General features: G+C 43.3%; 1 protein-coding gene across 17 annotated transcripts in view; it reads left to right on the top strand.

The window, feature by feature from the left end:
• CDK5RAP2 (CDK5 regulatory subunit associated protein 2) overlaps positions 1-16,138 on the top strand; it is a 191,293-nt gene that overhangs the window by 3,261 nt on the left and 171,894 nt on the right. For 15 of the 17 annotated variants that reach the window (NR_073554.2, NR_073555.2, NR_073557.2 and 12 more), the window contains exons 2-3: positions 4,866-4,933; positions 8,519-8,586. Coding sequence is in view for 12 of the 17 variants with exons in the window: in NM_001272039.2 (NP_001258968.1) it covers positions 4,866-4,933; positions 8,519-8,586 (136 nt within the window). In the remaining 5 variants the exon portion in view is untranslated. The remainder of the gene's footprint in view (positions 1-4,865; positions 4,934-8,518; positions 8,587-16,138) is intronic. The other 2 variants (NR_073558.2, NR_073556.2) reach the window with 1 other exon arrangement.

The raw sequence follows: 16,138 nt of genomic DNA, 5'->3' as shown, positions 1-16,138 counted from the left end.
AGACAGTCTTGCTCTGTTACCCATGCTGGTCTTAAATTCCTGGGCTCAAGTGATCCTCCTGCTTCTGCCTTGCTAAGAGCTGGGATTACAGACACAAGCCACTGTGCCTGCCCTTCACTGATATTTTTATTGTCCTTTTGATTATAGCCATCCTTTGGGTGTGACATGGTAGGTATCTCATTGTGGTCTTTTTTTTTTTGTCGTTGAGACAGAGTCTCACTCCCTTGCCCAGGCTGGAGTGCAGTGGCGCAATTTCGGCTCACCGCAACCTCTGCCTCGTGGGTTCAAGCGGTTCTGGTGCCTCAGCCTCCCAAGTAGCTGGGACTACAGGCACGTGCCACCATGCTCGGCTAATTTTTATATTTTTAGTAGAGACGGGGTTTCACCATGTTGGCCAGGCTGGTGTCGAACTCTTGACCTCAGGTGATCTGCCCGCCTTGGCCTCCCAAAGTGCTGGGTTACAGGAGTGAGCCACCCCGCCTGGCCCTCATTGTGGTATTGATTACATGTTAATGGCTACTGATGTGTTGAGCATCTTTCCATGTGCCTTTTAGCCATTTGTTCACTTTCTTTGGAGAAATGTGTATTCAAATCCATCGTCCATTTAAAAAACGTGAATATATTTTGACCCAGCAATTCCACTTCTTGTCATCTATTCTAGAGAAATCCTCATACTTGTGCATATGGGACCTTATAAGGACATTCATATGACATTGCATGTAAAAGAAAAACTTGGAAACAAATTGAATTATCATCAGTAGGGGATTGGGTAAATACACATCCTTTCAAAAGTATCTTTCAGACTGTGGCCCGTTGGTAGCTCATGAAATTCAATTTAGTAGGTTGCAACCAGGATTTAGAAAAATAGAACAGAATAGAAAACATTTCAAGGATGAAGGGTAATAATATTTCTTCTGTGGCTCATGGTCAGTAAGGTTTGAAGAACACTGCTGTAGAAAGCTTTGTAGGAGTTGAAAACTTTGAGGCATATCTATTTGTACTGTCATGAAAACATCATGAGGGCATATTAAGTAGAAGAAGGATGTTGTAGCATGATGTATACTGTTTGATTGCATGTGTTTTTAAGCAGCAAAATTGAAACTATCTATGTAAAAACACATAAAAAGTTCTGGAAGTTATAGGTCTTTTTGAAAACAGTGATTACCTCCTAGGCGGGTTCTAGATGGGAGCGAGGAGGAGCCAAGGAGAACTTTAGGCTTATCTGTATTTTTTTAAATTTATGTATTTTTCTCTAATTAAGAATAAAATAGAATGAAAAAGGGGTTGTTAAAAGACAAAAGTGAGTTTGTTTGTGTAATCGTTGTCAGAATGTGATATCTGGTCTCATCCATGACTCTCATGAAACAATTTGTCAAGGAGACATAAGACCCCTTGGGTCTTATGGTTTGAGTGGACAATTGTTGCTGGCATATGTAGGCATAGAAAGAGGTCAGTCCTTTTCGGTAGCAATAGAGCAAGATAGGAGGATGAGGTGGTGGAGCTCAGGTGAAGGTCCATTCAGTCACTCAAAAATTATCCACAAACAGTTGCTACAGCTGGGCGCGGTGGCTCACGCCTGTAATCCTAGCACTTTGGGAGGCTGAGGCGGTCAGGTCACCTGAGCTCAGGAGTTCAAGACCAGCCTGGCCAACGTGGTGAATCTCCATCTCTACTAAAAGTACAAAAAATTAGCCGGGCGTGGTGGTGCATGCCTGTAATCCTAGCTACTTGGGAGGCTGAGGCACGAGAATCGCTTGAATATGGAAGGTGGAGGTTGCAATGAGCTGAGATCACGCCACTGCACTCCAGCCTGGGCGATAGAGTGAGAGTCTCCAAAAAACCAAAACAAAACAAAACAGTCGTTATGATGGCTGTGCCCTGTGCTGAGTGATGGAAATTTTATGCCTCAGTCCATTCGGCCCTTAACCACCACCACACCCCTGCCACCCCCAACCTCCGGGAAGGCGTCAGGGGTACCAGGGTGGTGTAGGTTCACAGCAGGGGGTTTAAAGTCAGGCTGGCTTGGAGTTTCCAGCCTATTAACTTTTTGGTCTTTGTTTCCTCATTAAAAAAAAAAAAAAAAAAGGCAACATTAAAAAGTACCACCAGCCGCAGAAAGACTATAGTGAGGATTAAACCTGATTTTAGTTTCAAACATTCAGTTTAGAAAATGGACTTTAATCCTGTGGTGAGGATGAAAGGGAAGGCTGCCTGTCCTGTGCTGAGTGTGGTGCTTGTGCAGCATGGGTGCCCCATACAAGGGCAGGTTTCTTAGATTGTGCTTTATTTTGCACGTGAGGAAACTGGTACTCCACCATGTGTCACATTTATATAGGAGCTTTGGGCAGTCCACACACAGGCTAGCAAGTGGAAAAGACACTGGGATCCTGGATTTTGGGCTTGGCTTTGCCACTAACTTTTGTGATTTTGAGTAAATAAGTTCCTAACCCATTTCTGGGTTTCAGTCTTCTCATCTGTGGAATAAGATCATATCTGAGCCCTTTTGTTTTGCTTACATTGTCATTTCTCGTGAGTATCCCTGAGGCCCCAGCCTTAATTATAAGGCTACAAGTGAATGATTAGAATGGAAAGAGGGAGCTGCTTGTGGCTGGAGGTGTAGTTGGAACTGACTGGAGGGTGCAGATGACAGATTCATAGCATTTTAAAAGTGGGTAGGTAAAGCCCGAGTGGAAATTTGGCAGGATCCAAGCAAAAATTTCTGCATTACATAGTGGTTTTGTCTAAGAGTTGGGATGTCAGATGTCATTTTTCAAACTTCAGTGTTTGCCTGTAGGAAGCTTGTCTAAGACCAGAATCTTTGGCTTTGTTTGCTAGGTACTTTTCAGCTGTGATTGATCTTGGCTTGAGTTATTCATGGGCAGTTTTAGCCAGTGGGAGTTAATGTAATGGCTCTGGTACCCGGAGAGAACCCCAGATTGAGAATGCAGGACCAGACCTTAGGCTGAGCTTGGCCAATAACCTGGTGTATGTGACCTTGGGCTTCTGGACCACCATCTGCAAAAGGTGATGGTTGAACTTGATTTTAGTTTTTAAAATTCAGTTTAGAAAATTGACTTTGTCCTTTTAGTGATGTTTATTGGAGGAAATTGAGAATTATATAACATTAAAAAGGAAGAAAACCTCTCATTTCCCTACTAATGATGATTTTTAATATTTCAGTATATTTCCTTTGTCTTGTTATATATCTGTAGCCCACCTATTTCCAAAATGGACTTGAGGTGACTTCAGTATTTATGTACTGTATATATTTGTTTTCATAATTGAGGACATATTCTGTTTACGTTTTTTCATTTACCTTTACAGGGGACACTTTTTTTTTTAAATTTTTTTTTTTTTTGAGATGGAGTCTCACTCTATCACCCAGGCTTGAGTGCAGTGGCATGATCTCAGCTCACTTCAACCTCTGCCTCCTGGGTTCAAGTGATTCTCCTGCCTCAGCCTCTCAAGTAGCTAGGACTACAGGCACCTGCCACAATGCCCGGCTAATTTTTGTATTTTTATTAGAGATGGGGTTTTACCATGTTGGCCAGGCTGGTCTCGAACTCCTGATCTCAAGTGATGCACCAGCCTTGGCCTCCCAAAATACTGGGATTATAGGCATGAGTCACTGCACCCAGCCCGGACACATTTTTTTGTGATCATTTTCTTAATGTTGGAATTTTATGATATTTCCAATTTTTTGCCTGTTTTTGATCTTGAAGGTACATTCCAACTCCAAAGTTTGGTGGTCAGGCAAAATTATCCTAGGAGCACAATGAATTTGGATTTAGAGGCATGGAAAGAGCAAATTGCCAAGAAGTCAAGCTGTTTCCATCAACTCCTACTTTACAGTGTGGGATAGGGAAGTATTCGTGGGAGTTGGACATAAAAGACCTGGCTTCTGGACCTGGCTCTCCACAGAACCGCCATGTGACCCTGGCTAGGACAGTAAAATTGTCTGGGCCTTGGGGCCTTCCTTTGAAAAATGTGTGCACCCTCAGGGAATTAGGCAATTCTAATGATGGTAAATCTTTTATAAATTGTAAAGCACTGTAGGTTTCAAGGCGACATGATATTTTGCTCCCATTTGTGGAGTACCCACAAGGTACCTTGCAATATCTTGTTTAATTGCCAGTTACTCTGTGAGGTAGCTGCTGTACTCATTTTACAGCTAAAGAAAGTGAGGCTCAGAGAGATACATGGCAGAGCTTAGAATAGATCAGGGTAGTGTCTTTTGTGTCACACCACACCTCCTATTATGGGTTAGTTTTCTGTCAGTGTCTCCAGATCCTCACTGAATTTATTTATGTAATTCAACCAAGACAACTTCTTGGATCAGTGAATTTTGCATTGTTTGACATTCTTAAAACATCTAAATTGGTGTCTGATTCCCAGAGGTGGTGATAGGCATATTAGTAGTCATAATGATAATAGTAACAACAACAATAGTTGCCGTTTACTGAATACTTACTATGTGCTTTGTGTTTATATACATGAACGAATTTAATTTTTACAGGGAGGGCATGGTATCCTCATGTACCAGATTAAGAGGGTGAGACTCAGAAACATAAGTATCTTGTACTTGTCACAGTGCCTCTGCCACTAGCACATATTTGGCACACAGAACATTTGATGTATGACTGAATGAATGATGTTACTGAAGGTCACTCAGCTATCAAGTGTTGGAGCTGGAACTCAGCCCCAAAGCCTGAGTTCTTAACCTCTGTGCTTCATGCCACATAGGTAGCCCAGCTGTGTGCATCCCTCCTGGCCATGGGATGATTGTCATGTGCAGTCCAGACCGTCTTAACAGTCTCTGTTGTTCAAACATTAGCTCATCTCTTATCTCATGTGTTCTCTCCTAGTGGCCTTGTTCCCAGTGTACCAGATGACCTGGATGGCATCAACCCCAATGCTGGGTTGGGAAATGGTCGTAAGTACACAAAACCAGGCATTCTCTTGAGTAAAGAACAAGGAAAGTAGACATTGGACTGTGAGCATCTTGAGCTTTCATATCTCTGGGGCCCAGAGGCTTCCCTGAACTGGCACACCGTAGGTGCTCAGTATTTTTTGTATGTATTGATTTGCTTTCCACCTCCTTTCATAAACACTGGACTAGAGGAATTGTTGTCCTTTTGGCCATACTTCATGAGTTTCATTTGTTGCTACTAAAGCTATAGGGATTCAGTGAGCGTTTGCTGAACTGAACAACTGCACGGAGGCTGGACATTGAATTGGCAGCTAGGCCAGTGGCTGGAGGCCCAGGAGAGCTGCCATCTGGACTGTAGCGTGCCAAGGCCTTCCTGGCAGGCTGCTGGATCCTGTTTGCCGGCTGAGGCCCCGCATTCCTACACGGGCCTGCCCTTTGGAGACAAATAGCTGGTTAGACCACAGGAGACGGCTCTGAGTAAATAAGTAGCGTACTGTGTTTAAGCTGGATTATGAGGAGACTTTGCAGTTTGGGTCTAGCTAAGCATTCTTCATAATTTTTATTTCTGAAAAAAGTGAATGCTTAAGCGTCTCTGTGGGTAGTGCTAGTTTTTGCAAAATATCTCTAAGATATTTTGACTTGTTCTTTTTTTTCTCTTCTCCACAGTGCTGAGATATGTGCAAGAGGAGGGAGATTTTGGAGCAGACAGGAAAAGAGTCCCACGGTTTATTTCTGGAAAATCCCTTAACTTACAGGGCACCTTCATGTTTTCCTGAGGAACCTATTAACTTTTACTTTATTTTTACTTTTTATTTTTTTGAGACATGGTCTTGTCCTGTCACCCAGGCTGGGAGTGCAGAGGTGCGATCACGCACACTGCAGCCTTGACCTCTTGGACTCAAGCAATTCTCCATCTCAGTCTCCCTAGTATCTGGGACTACAGGCGTGTGCCACGACACCTGGCTAATTTTTGTATTTTTTGCAGGACGGTTTTGCCATGTTGCCCAGTCTGGTCTCGAATTCCTGGACTCAAGTGATCCACCTGCCTCAGCTTCCCGAAGTGCTGGGATTACAGGCATGAGCCACTGCACTCATTGGCAACTTTTACTTTAAATGCAAAATCCAACAAGTCTGATTTGAGATGGAGTCTCGCTCTGTTGCCCAGGCTGGAGTGCAGTGGTGTGATCTCGGCTCACTGCAACCTCCGCCTCGTGGGTTCAAGCAATTCTTCTGCCTCAGCCTCCCGAGTAGCTGGGATTACAGGCACGTGCCACCACACCCAGCTAATTTTTGTATTTTTAGTAGAGACAGAGTTCACCATGTTGGCCAGGCTGGTCTCGAACTTCTGACCTCAGGTGATCCACCCGCCGCAGCCTCCCAAAGTGCTGGGTTTACAGGCATGAGCCACTGTGCCTGGCCAGCCTATTTCTTAATTTAGCCGATAGTATACATTTGCTTCATGCCAGACTCTGGGCTCAGTGCTAAAATTCAACCTCAAATGTGGTTACTGTTAAGCTGAGAAGACAGACAAACCCTTATGAGAATTTGTATGGTCAGTGTCAGGAGCAAAGATGTATCAAGTGCTGTGAGAGGGGATTAAAGGGAGATTTCCTCTGGTGTGGAGGTGGGTCAGGCTAGAGTTTCCCAAGAAATTGATATTGGAGCGGAGACCTGAATAAGTCAGATGTAGGTAAGGAAAAAGGAGGGGATGAGCATCCCAGACACAGGTGAGGGCATGGCCCGTTTGAGGAACAGGAAAACAAACTAGCGTGCCCTTCACAGTCTGCCCTGCCCACTCCTTAGCCTCTTTTCTGCTAAGTGGTTTCCGAACACCATGCCCACTCCCACCTCTGTGCTTTTGCCTGGGCTGTCTCTCCTTCCTTTTGTTTCTCATCTGCCCGGTGCCTCCTTGCTCCCTCTTTAAGACTCAGCTCAAAGCTCACCACCCTTTTTGGCTCTCCCCAGGCTGACTAAGGTGTACTTTCCTCTCTCAACATTGTGTATTTCACTTCATCTCATCTCATTTCATTTATTCCTGTTGGCTACTTTTAAAGTATCGGAATCAGACTAGTTCTCACCCACCTATACTCCTTCCATCCTACTCCAACCCACCATGATCTGCGGCCTAGATTATCCCAATATTCTCCTAACTGGTTTCCCTGTTTCTCTCCTAAGCCCCTTACAGTCTGTTCTCAGAAAGGCAGCCAGAGGGAGCCTGTAGAAACCTAAGTCGAATCATCTTACTCCTTAGCTGCAAACCTTCCAGCAGCTCCTCAGAGTCCTTAGAAGAGCCTAAAAACCGTATACAGTCTGTCCCTGTTTACCTCTCTCACCTCCAGTCCTGCTATCCCCCTTTGTTTATTGAGCTCCAGCCTATTGGCCTCTTGACTGTTCCCCAGACCCACAGGGGACCGTGCTTCCACCTCAGGCTTCTCCCTGAATGTGGAGAATTCTCCCCCAGGTAACTGGTCCTTTCTCTTCAAGTCTGCCCAGATGTCACCTTCTCATTGAGACCTTCCTTAACCACCTTACCTAAAATGGCAGTCCTCACCCCATGCCTCCTATTTCCTATCCTTATCTACTTTATTTTTCTCCATAGCATTTATCACCTTTTAACATATTATGCAGTTGTCCTTTTGTTTTGTTTATTGTGTTTCCTCCCTCTAGACTATCGGCTGCATTTGTTTGTTTCCTGATGTTTCCACATCTAGAAAGGGGCCTAGCAGAAAGTGGATTCTCAGTGCATATATTTTGAAAGAATGAACTTATTCACTCAGCACACATTTACTGAACACCTACAAAGTGCCACGGGCTTTATTCAGCCTGATAACAGTTAGTTTAGATCTCCATCCTGCTCACTCGATAGGGAACCTCTTGGATGCAGGATTAGTGTCTCCTTCACCATTGTTTCCTCAGCATGCAGGATGGGGCTTGGCACCGAGTAGGTGTGTAATACATGTTTGTTCAGTTAAAGATGCTGCGGAGAGATTTGGGTATTGCCATAGTCTTTAAAACAGGTCAGCAGTTTCCGGTCCACTGCTTGCTTTTGAAAATAAACTTTTATTGGAACACAACCACTTTGTTTATGGATTGTTTGTGGCTGTTTTTGTGTGACAACAGAGGATTTGAGTAGTTGTGACAGATTTTAGGCTTTGTGTATGGCCCACAAAGCCTAAAATATTGTCTGGCGTTTTAAGAAAAAGTTTGCCAACCCCTGCTGTCAAGTCAGTTAGATGTGCTTTGTTGTAATTACTGACGTGAGAAGATGACACTCTGTTCAGTAAGGTAATTTCATGAAATAAGGAAGTACATATCAGGACAGTCTGCTTTGCAAAATGCCTGATGTGTTTGCTGGGTTCATCCTCTGATGTGCACATTGTTACTTTGGGGTTAGTTTAAGTAATTTGTAAATTAATGGTTTAGAGCTTTCCCTGGAGCAAAATCAGTAAATCACAAAAGACAGCAAGTACCAGCCGCGTGTACTGTGGAAGCAGTTCGTGTTGTTTTCCTCTCTGTGCTCTATTCCCCAATAGGAACACTGGGCAGTTTGCATGCTGTGACGTTTTCCTCTATTTTACCTTTTTACAGTGCTCCCAAATGTGTCAGAAGAAACAGTGTCTCCCACCAGAGCACGGAACATGAAGGACTTTGAAAATGTAAGTGGAAATACCAAATTACTGCCCCCAACAAATTGTGTCTGCTGCCACTGTCCAGCCAGACCCAGGAAAGCTGTGTTTCTTGAGATCTAAGTTCGGTGATGCCAGAGGCAGGGGGGTGCCATGTCTCATGGACATCTTCTGTGAGACTTTTACGTACAAATGCAGTCAGCCCTTTATACAAGGGCCAAATATAGGTTCTGACGGGATCAGCAGTTTTCAACTTTGGGTGAAACTTTTGGTTTTCAACTTTGGTTTTCAGGTTTGGTGTCTTTCTGGTGTCCTAAAGGTGAGGATGTTCGCATGTTGCACAGTTGAGGGGAGCTAACATTTGTCAAAGGCCTTACTGTTACTATAAGGCATGTTATTTATGGTCCCCTATTTGATGCTCACTGCAACCTTTGAGATATTTTGTATCATTCCCATTTTGCAGGTTAGGAATCTTAAGACTAGGAGAGAGTTGTTTATGGTCATATAATACATAAGTGTCAGAGTTGGGATTTGAATCCAGGTTTTTATTAATTCCAAAGCCATTATTCTTTCCACTGCATTGTGCCTCCCCTTGCATTTTGAAGACTTTATCTTTGCTGTTGAATGAAATGTGAGTAGCCTGTACCTAGTACTGTGTAGTTTCTTTCTGAGAATGGATTACTTGGTGATGGATTTGGCTTCAATGCTTGATGTCTTCCAGCATTGTGTCTTTCATTTATTAGCAGAGGGGGTTTGTTGTCAAGTAACAGGAAAATAAGGTTATTTTCCCAATTCCAGTTCTCTTTAACAAGTTACCTGTTCAGTGCTCTCATTTATCATGGGAAGAATTAGACCCTTCTTCATTTGTAAGCAAATGAAATCCATACTATGCAAGACACAAGAGATACTTAACAGAGAGAAGATGGAGGACACAGAGAGAAGGACATTCCACAATTATGTTTCTTTCTCCCCAGTTGTCTTTACAGAACAGAGCAGTGCTGTCTCTGGATTTAATTTAGAATGCTCATTACTGCTAATAGTTATCTGCAAACCACCAGTGACCAATTGAAGAAATGACTTGTCAGATCTCTAATGGAAACAAGTAATTTCTGAGCTTTGGGTTGTTATAATTTCAGCTGTACAACTCGATCTATGCTGTGGGGTCTGGGGCCTCAAACGAATGAGATTTGATTATTCTACATCGTGTATAATTAAAATATGCTCTACTATTAAATGGTTGTTCCTGTTTTATCATAAGAGTAATAACAGCTACTGTTTATTGAGCTCTTGCTCTGAGCTGGGTACTTTAAGTGCTAAGCTCTTTGTATATGTTACTTTAATATTAAAGCGGCTCTGCAAGATAGTTATTTCATTTTTGAAGGGCACTGTTTTACATTTTATTTCTAAATTGGAAAATTTCACAGAATATTAGAATTTTGGTTTCACATCTTTTATCTGCTTATTGAACTGAAAGGAATCCTAGAATTGAACACAACCCTCTTTATTATATATAGGAGAAACTGAGGCCCAGGGATGTGATGTGACAAAATTGTTCTCAGAGGCAGTCTGTGCTGCCTAAGGCCCATTGGCTTCTGGAGCCAGGCTGCTTGTTTGTCCACTTCTCCTGGGTGCCCTGTGGCCGGTCACTTAACCTCTCTGTACTTCCCTCATTTTAACAATGGGCATGATAACAGTACCTACTTCATAGGGTTGTTAGGAGGATTGAATGAGTGAATATTTGCAAAGCACAGAGTACATTCTATGTGTTTGCCATGACTGCTTCTTCCTTTTCTTACTGTTATTGTTATAATTACTGTTATTTTTTTCCACTCTGCCATGTGATTCAAGTTCCCCTTGTTCAGATGTGTTCTTGATGACCTAAATCCTGTTTTACTTGAAGGTGAGGGAGAGCCTTCTATGCCAACATGTTTTAGGATTTATGTTTTTTTCTTTATGACTGTAGTCCTTTGGTTGCTGTTAGGTTTTTATGGCATTAATATTTTTTATTGTAGCATTTTCAAGAGCAAATTCTGCAGCCGGAATTGAAATGGCCACACTGTTCTTGATGTCTCCCTTTCAGGTCTTTATGAATCACTGAAATTTTTCATTTGGCCTGAGTTACAAAATGCATGATCTGTATGTAGTGGTAGTCTGAACTTTCTGTGGGATGCTTATAGGAAATGCTCTTGGCACCTAAAGCTAATTTTAAGAGCATGCATATTAAGGAGGGGGCTGAGATACTTTGGGTTTAAAGTGGAAACTCATGATTCGTCCTATTCTAGTCTCAGATGATTGATACCTAACCATCAGGAGTTGCATTTAGTTGGGAGCTGGCAACACATAGGTCACCTTCTGGTTTTCCTCAGAGTTCATCCATTTAATAAACATTTTTTAATATATGCCACTGTGCCAGGCTCTCTGCCAGGGGGAATCTGCAGTGGATTAAGACCAGGTAAGTCCCCCTGTCCAGAGGCTCACAGTCTGATTGGGAAGATGGATAGGAAAATAGTGCAGGGACAGAGGTAAGTCTAGGGTGCTGTGGGGCCACAGAGGAGGGGCTATGACTCGGGGTTCAGAGAAGCCTCTGGAGGAGATGTTGCCTGAGTTGGGTCATCAGGGACAGGTACGGTTTGGTCAAGTGGGGAGAGCTAGGGAGCATCCCAGGCACAGGGACTCACATGTGCAAATGTAGAGAGAGGCATGACAGGGTTTGATGAGTTCAGAGAGCTGTAAGTTCCCTGAACTTACTGGCTGGAAGGAGGCTGTGTGAGGGGAGTGGAGAGAAGTGAGGCCATTGAAGCAGGCAGGGGCCAGCTCCTGCAGGTTCTTGAATGTTACACTGCTTTGTTTGGTTTTTGTCCTGAAGATGAAAGGGAACCAGCAATGGATTTTAATCTGGGGAGGGAAATGACCAGAATTGTGCTTTCAAAAGCTTACCAGGCTGGTGACTATGAGGAGAAGAGTTTGGAGGGGAGCAAGGCTGGTGGTAAGGTGATGAGTTAAAAGGCTGCTGTGGTGTTGTGGGCCCAAAGGGAGGAATGTGGAGCTAAGGGCATGGAATGAAGGGATATTTAGAATGGAGTTAATTTCAGAGCTGGAGGAGCTCTAAGAATCATCTCTTCCAGTGCTTTCATTTGACATGTGGGGACTCTGAAGCCCAGACAGGGGTAGGGACTTATTCAGCTTTGAACCCAGGTCTTCTATCAAAGCAATTCCTTTCTATTTCATTTGACTGTTCTGTGGGAGTACTCACTCTGGCATGTGAAAACCACATGTCTTCTTTTTGGTCTTTAAACTGGTAATCCATTGTCTAATATCCTCATTAGCTGAGGGTATAATCACCTGTATGGCAGGCCTTATGGTAGGAAGTCGGTAAATCAGTTGCTCTTCTATGGGAGCCTGTCGTATTGGTCTTCCCTCCCTAGACCAGAGGAGGCCTTGCGGAGGCAGCATTTTGTGAAGGCCTGTACCTGTTGTGAGTTGTTCTGGACACTGCTATCTCTCTCTCCCTTTAAAAAACATGTTTTTTGGGTGAGTAGGGAAGACCCAGAATCTGGTACAACATATGCTGTCCAAGTAGCTATCTTTGTGAACATATGGAAGAGTTTAATCTTGGCTTTTGACAGGGAATGACATGGATAACTTTCCATTCTCAATACTCATGGATGGCATTATTACTGGCTGTGTAATATTAAATCAAGGCTTAATAAAAGGGATAGATTGAGCCATAATTTATATAACCTTACTGTGGGACATTTCAGGTTGTTTCTAATTTCTCACTTTTATAAACAAAGCTGTGATGAATCTCCTTGTGCATATATCTTTTTATAGTTGTATGATTTTTTATTTTTTTATTTTTTTGAGACAGAGTCTCACTCTGTTGCCCAGGCTGGAGTGGAGTGGCACGATCTCGGCTCACTGCAGCCGCAGCCTCCCGGGTTCAAGCGATTCTCCTGCTTCAGCCTCCCTAGTAGCTGGGATTACAGGCGTATGCCACCATGCCTGGCTAATTTTTTGTATTTTTAGTACAGGTGGGGTTTCACTTTATTAGCCAGGATGGTCTCACCATGTTAGCCAGGATGGTCTTGATCTCCTGACCTTGTGATCCGCCTGCCTTGGCCTCCCAAAGTGCTGGAACTACAGGCGTGAGCCACCACGCCTCGCCGAGTGTTTCTTTTTTTTAAGGGTAGATTCCTAGAAATGAGATTTCTGGATGTCGGAGATATTAAGCATAACTTACATGCAATAAACAGTAGATACTATGGAATAGGATTTGTTATGTCTAGCAGCTTCCTTTCCAAGGAATTGAAAGAACTCTTAGCCAGGTGTGGCTGAAACAATTGCCTGTATCCTGTCCACACCTGGTCTCCTTATCTTTTGTTGTTCTTATCTTATGCCCACCTGCCCTGAGATGTTGGCATTCTTGCATTGAGGCCCTTATTCCTGTTGTTGAAAATTCTTGGCCTCAGCCGAGGCAGTTGGTCAAATTTGAGTGTTTTGTTTGTGGTTTCACTAGGAGGTTTGCATCTTTAAATTTGCAATAATATGTTTGTGAGTTACTTACTGCCAGATCATAGCTCCCTCACCTTCCACCCCTGCCCCACTTGTATGGCCCCGAAGCTTTCAGAAGCACCATGGTGTGTAGATACGACATGGATTTGAGAATGATGAGGACTGGGTTTCAGGCTTGGCCCTGCCACTTACTGATCTGTGGCCTTAAATGGGTTGCTTCTAAAACCTCATGTGTAAAGTGGGGCTACTACTATCTTTCCTTCAGTTATTAATTAGGTAAGGTATGGAAAGCACCTAGCATGATGCTTGGTGCATAGAGGGTACTCAATGAATGCTGATGTCTGTCTGCTCTAATCCAAAGATTCCGTTGACTACAACCACTGCCCTGGGTTCTGCCCCATCAGTGTTCAGTTTCTGTACATCCTTCTGTGATGTTTCTTTGACCTTGGAATAAAATCCCTAATCTTGGCCCATGAGAACCCGTCCTGTGTGATCGACAGCTTCCTGTCTTTCTGAACTCAGCATATTCCTCTCCCCGTCGTACACTGCTCTAGCCACACAGGCTGCTGTTCCTCAGCCACACCCAGCTTGTCCCTGTGCCAGGGCCTACGTGCATGCTCCACCCTCTGCCTGGACACCCTTTCTCCCTTTCCTTGAATGGCAGGCCCCTGGACCTTCTTGCCTCAACTTGAATGTGGCCTTGTTAGAGAGGCTACCCCAACTCCCTTCTCAACTCATGATTCTGTCTTCTAGCAAGTACTCAGCGCCCTGTCTCTCCCACCATGACTCTTGTGACAGTTTGTGGTTATTTCTTTATTAGTGTACTTGCTTAACATGTGTCTCTATTCAATGTCTGGTACTCAACGCTGAACCTAACAAAATCGTAGGCATCTAATATTTGTTGATTGAATGAATGTGTAACCTTGTATGGAATACTAAAGCTCCAAATTTTGGTTGCTTTATCTGTAAAACTGGGAAAAATGTTTATCTGAGGCTTGTGGTGAGGAGTAAATAACATGCTAGGATAGTGCCTGCTATACCAGATCTTTAGCAAACAGGGCGGCTACTGTGGTTATTGTTACTAAAGTGGCTGGAGAGGAGATATACCTAGAGACATATCTAGAGGCAGACAGCTTATAATGAGGATGGGGGCATGCGGGGCCAGAGTCAGGAAAGCAAGCAGTAATGAGGGCAAGGTGAGGCTAAGAGTGGGAGAATGAGGGTGAACTTAGAACATGGCAGGAGTGTAAGAATTGTGTGGGATGCCGCTCAGTGGAAGTGGCTGAAGACCAGGTCTGTAGCTGGCAGAGCGAGTGTCATAGCCACTTTCCACGGAGCTCTGTGCACAACATATAGCCTGACGGTGCTAGGGGTTTTTGCTGAGTTGAGTACTTGGAATCAAGTAGGGCTCATGGCTGTTGGGGTAAAAGTGTTAAGTACAGGGGTTCATTTGTGTAGTGGGATGGCCTGCTGGATTGAACGCTCTGAGTTCCCGTACCTCGCATGTCCTGGCCATGCCCTCCAAAAACCTGGCCAGATGGAGGGCTGAGTAGTGTAAATTTTTACAATCTTTTTGAAGGCCATTTGGAAAGAGATTTTGATAGCCATAAATATAAAATTACTCTTGAGCCCAATAATCCATTTTGGGGAAATTGATACTAGGGAAACAGCCCAGTAGAAGGAATAAAGCTCTGTTGATGAAGGTGTTTGTTGCCACATTGTGTATAATTGTGAAAAACTGGAAGGAAGGGAAATTATATTTTATATTTGTTATCTCTTTGCTTTTGACAAGCGTGTGTTGAGGATATTTCACAGATGAGGAAGCTGAGGTTGGAGAGATTAAACAACTTGCCCATGAGCTTATTGTGATTGAGAAGCAAAAAGAAGGCAAAATTCAAGCCTGGTCTTTCTGATTGTAAAGCTGGTCACTTTCCATGAGAGCACACTGAGTCTATCAGTGCACAGCAGAGAAATGGTTAAACAGTTGACTGTGAATCACTTCAGCACAAGGTAGTGCAGTTATTTCAACTGATAGTTTTGTGTAATTCTGCCACAATATGAAAAATACTTAAGAAATATTAAATGAAAGCAATGGAATATGCAAATTCACTTATGTTATAATTCTGCAAAAATGTGTATTCATGAGCAAAGGTTGAAAAGAATATGAAAATAGTTGATTTCATAAGGTAGTTAAATTCCAACTGGTGTTTGAGATTCAGTTTTAAATTTCTGTTATTGAGGCTGGGTGTGGTGGCTCACACCTGTAATCCCAGCACTTTGGGAGACCAAGGCAGGGGGATCGCTTGAACCCAGGAGTTGTGACCCAGCTTGGGTCACAAAGTGAGACCCCATTTCTACAAAAAAAAATTAAAAAGTTAGCTGGGCATGGTGATGTGTGCTTGTGGTCCCAGCTACTTGGGAGGCTAAGGTGGAAGGATTGCTTGAGCCTGGGAGGTTGAGGCTGCAGTGAGCCATGAATGCGCCACTGCACTCTAGCCTGAGCGACAGAGAGAGACCCTGTTTAAAAAAAAAATTCTGTTATTTCTCCAGTATTATTTATAAGATACTTACCTAGTAACAGTTTTCTTGATGATTTGAAAACACCAAGGAGAGTATCAGCATCAGAAATTGATTCCAAAGTATCCTCCCCTCTTTACTACCTCACTTAGCTGCTGTAGGCAGTATTATCTTACATGCAGTATTGTTTACTAGAGATGAACTTTGGGTAGCCAAGTTCATGGTTTTTGTTATGCTAGGTGAAGTCTAACAGTGTTTGTACTTTCAAAAAGGTTAAAAAATTCATTGTGGCCCAAAGATCTGCTTATTGAGGGCCTGAGAAGCCAATTTTTTTTTTTCCTTTTTAAAAAAGGCTTTACTGTGTGTGTGTGTATACACATACCATTATTTAAGATAGACAATATCGGCTGGGTGCGGTGGCTCACATCTGTAATCCCAGCACTTTGGGAAGTCAAGGCGGGCATATCACCTGGGGTCAGGAGTTTGAGACCAGCCTGGCCAACATGGTGAAACCCCGTCTCTACTAAAAATAAAAAAATTAGCTGGGCATGGT

This window comes from Homo sapiens, chromosome 9, assembly GCF_000001405.40.
Source record: "Homo sapiens chromosome 9, GRCh38.p14 Primary Assembly".
Lineage (NCBI taxonomy): Eukaryota > Metazoa > Chordata > Mammalia > Primates > Hominidae > Homo > Homo sapiens.
This window is presented reverse-complemented; position numbering and strand designations above follow the sequence as displayed.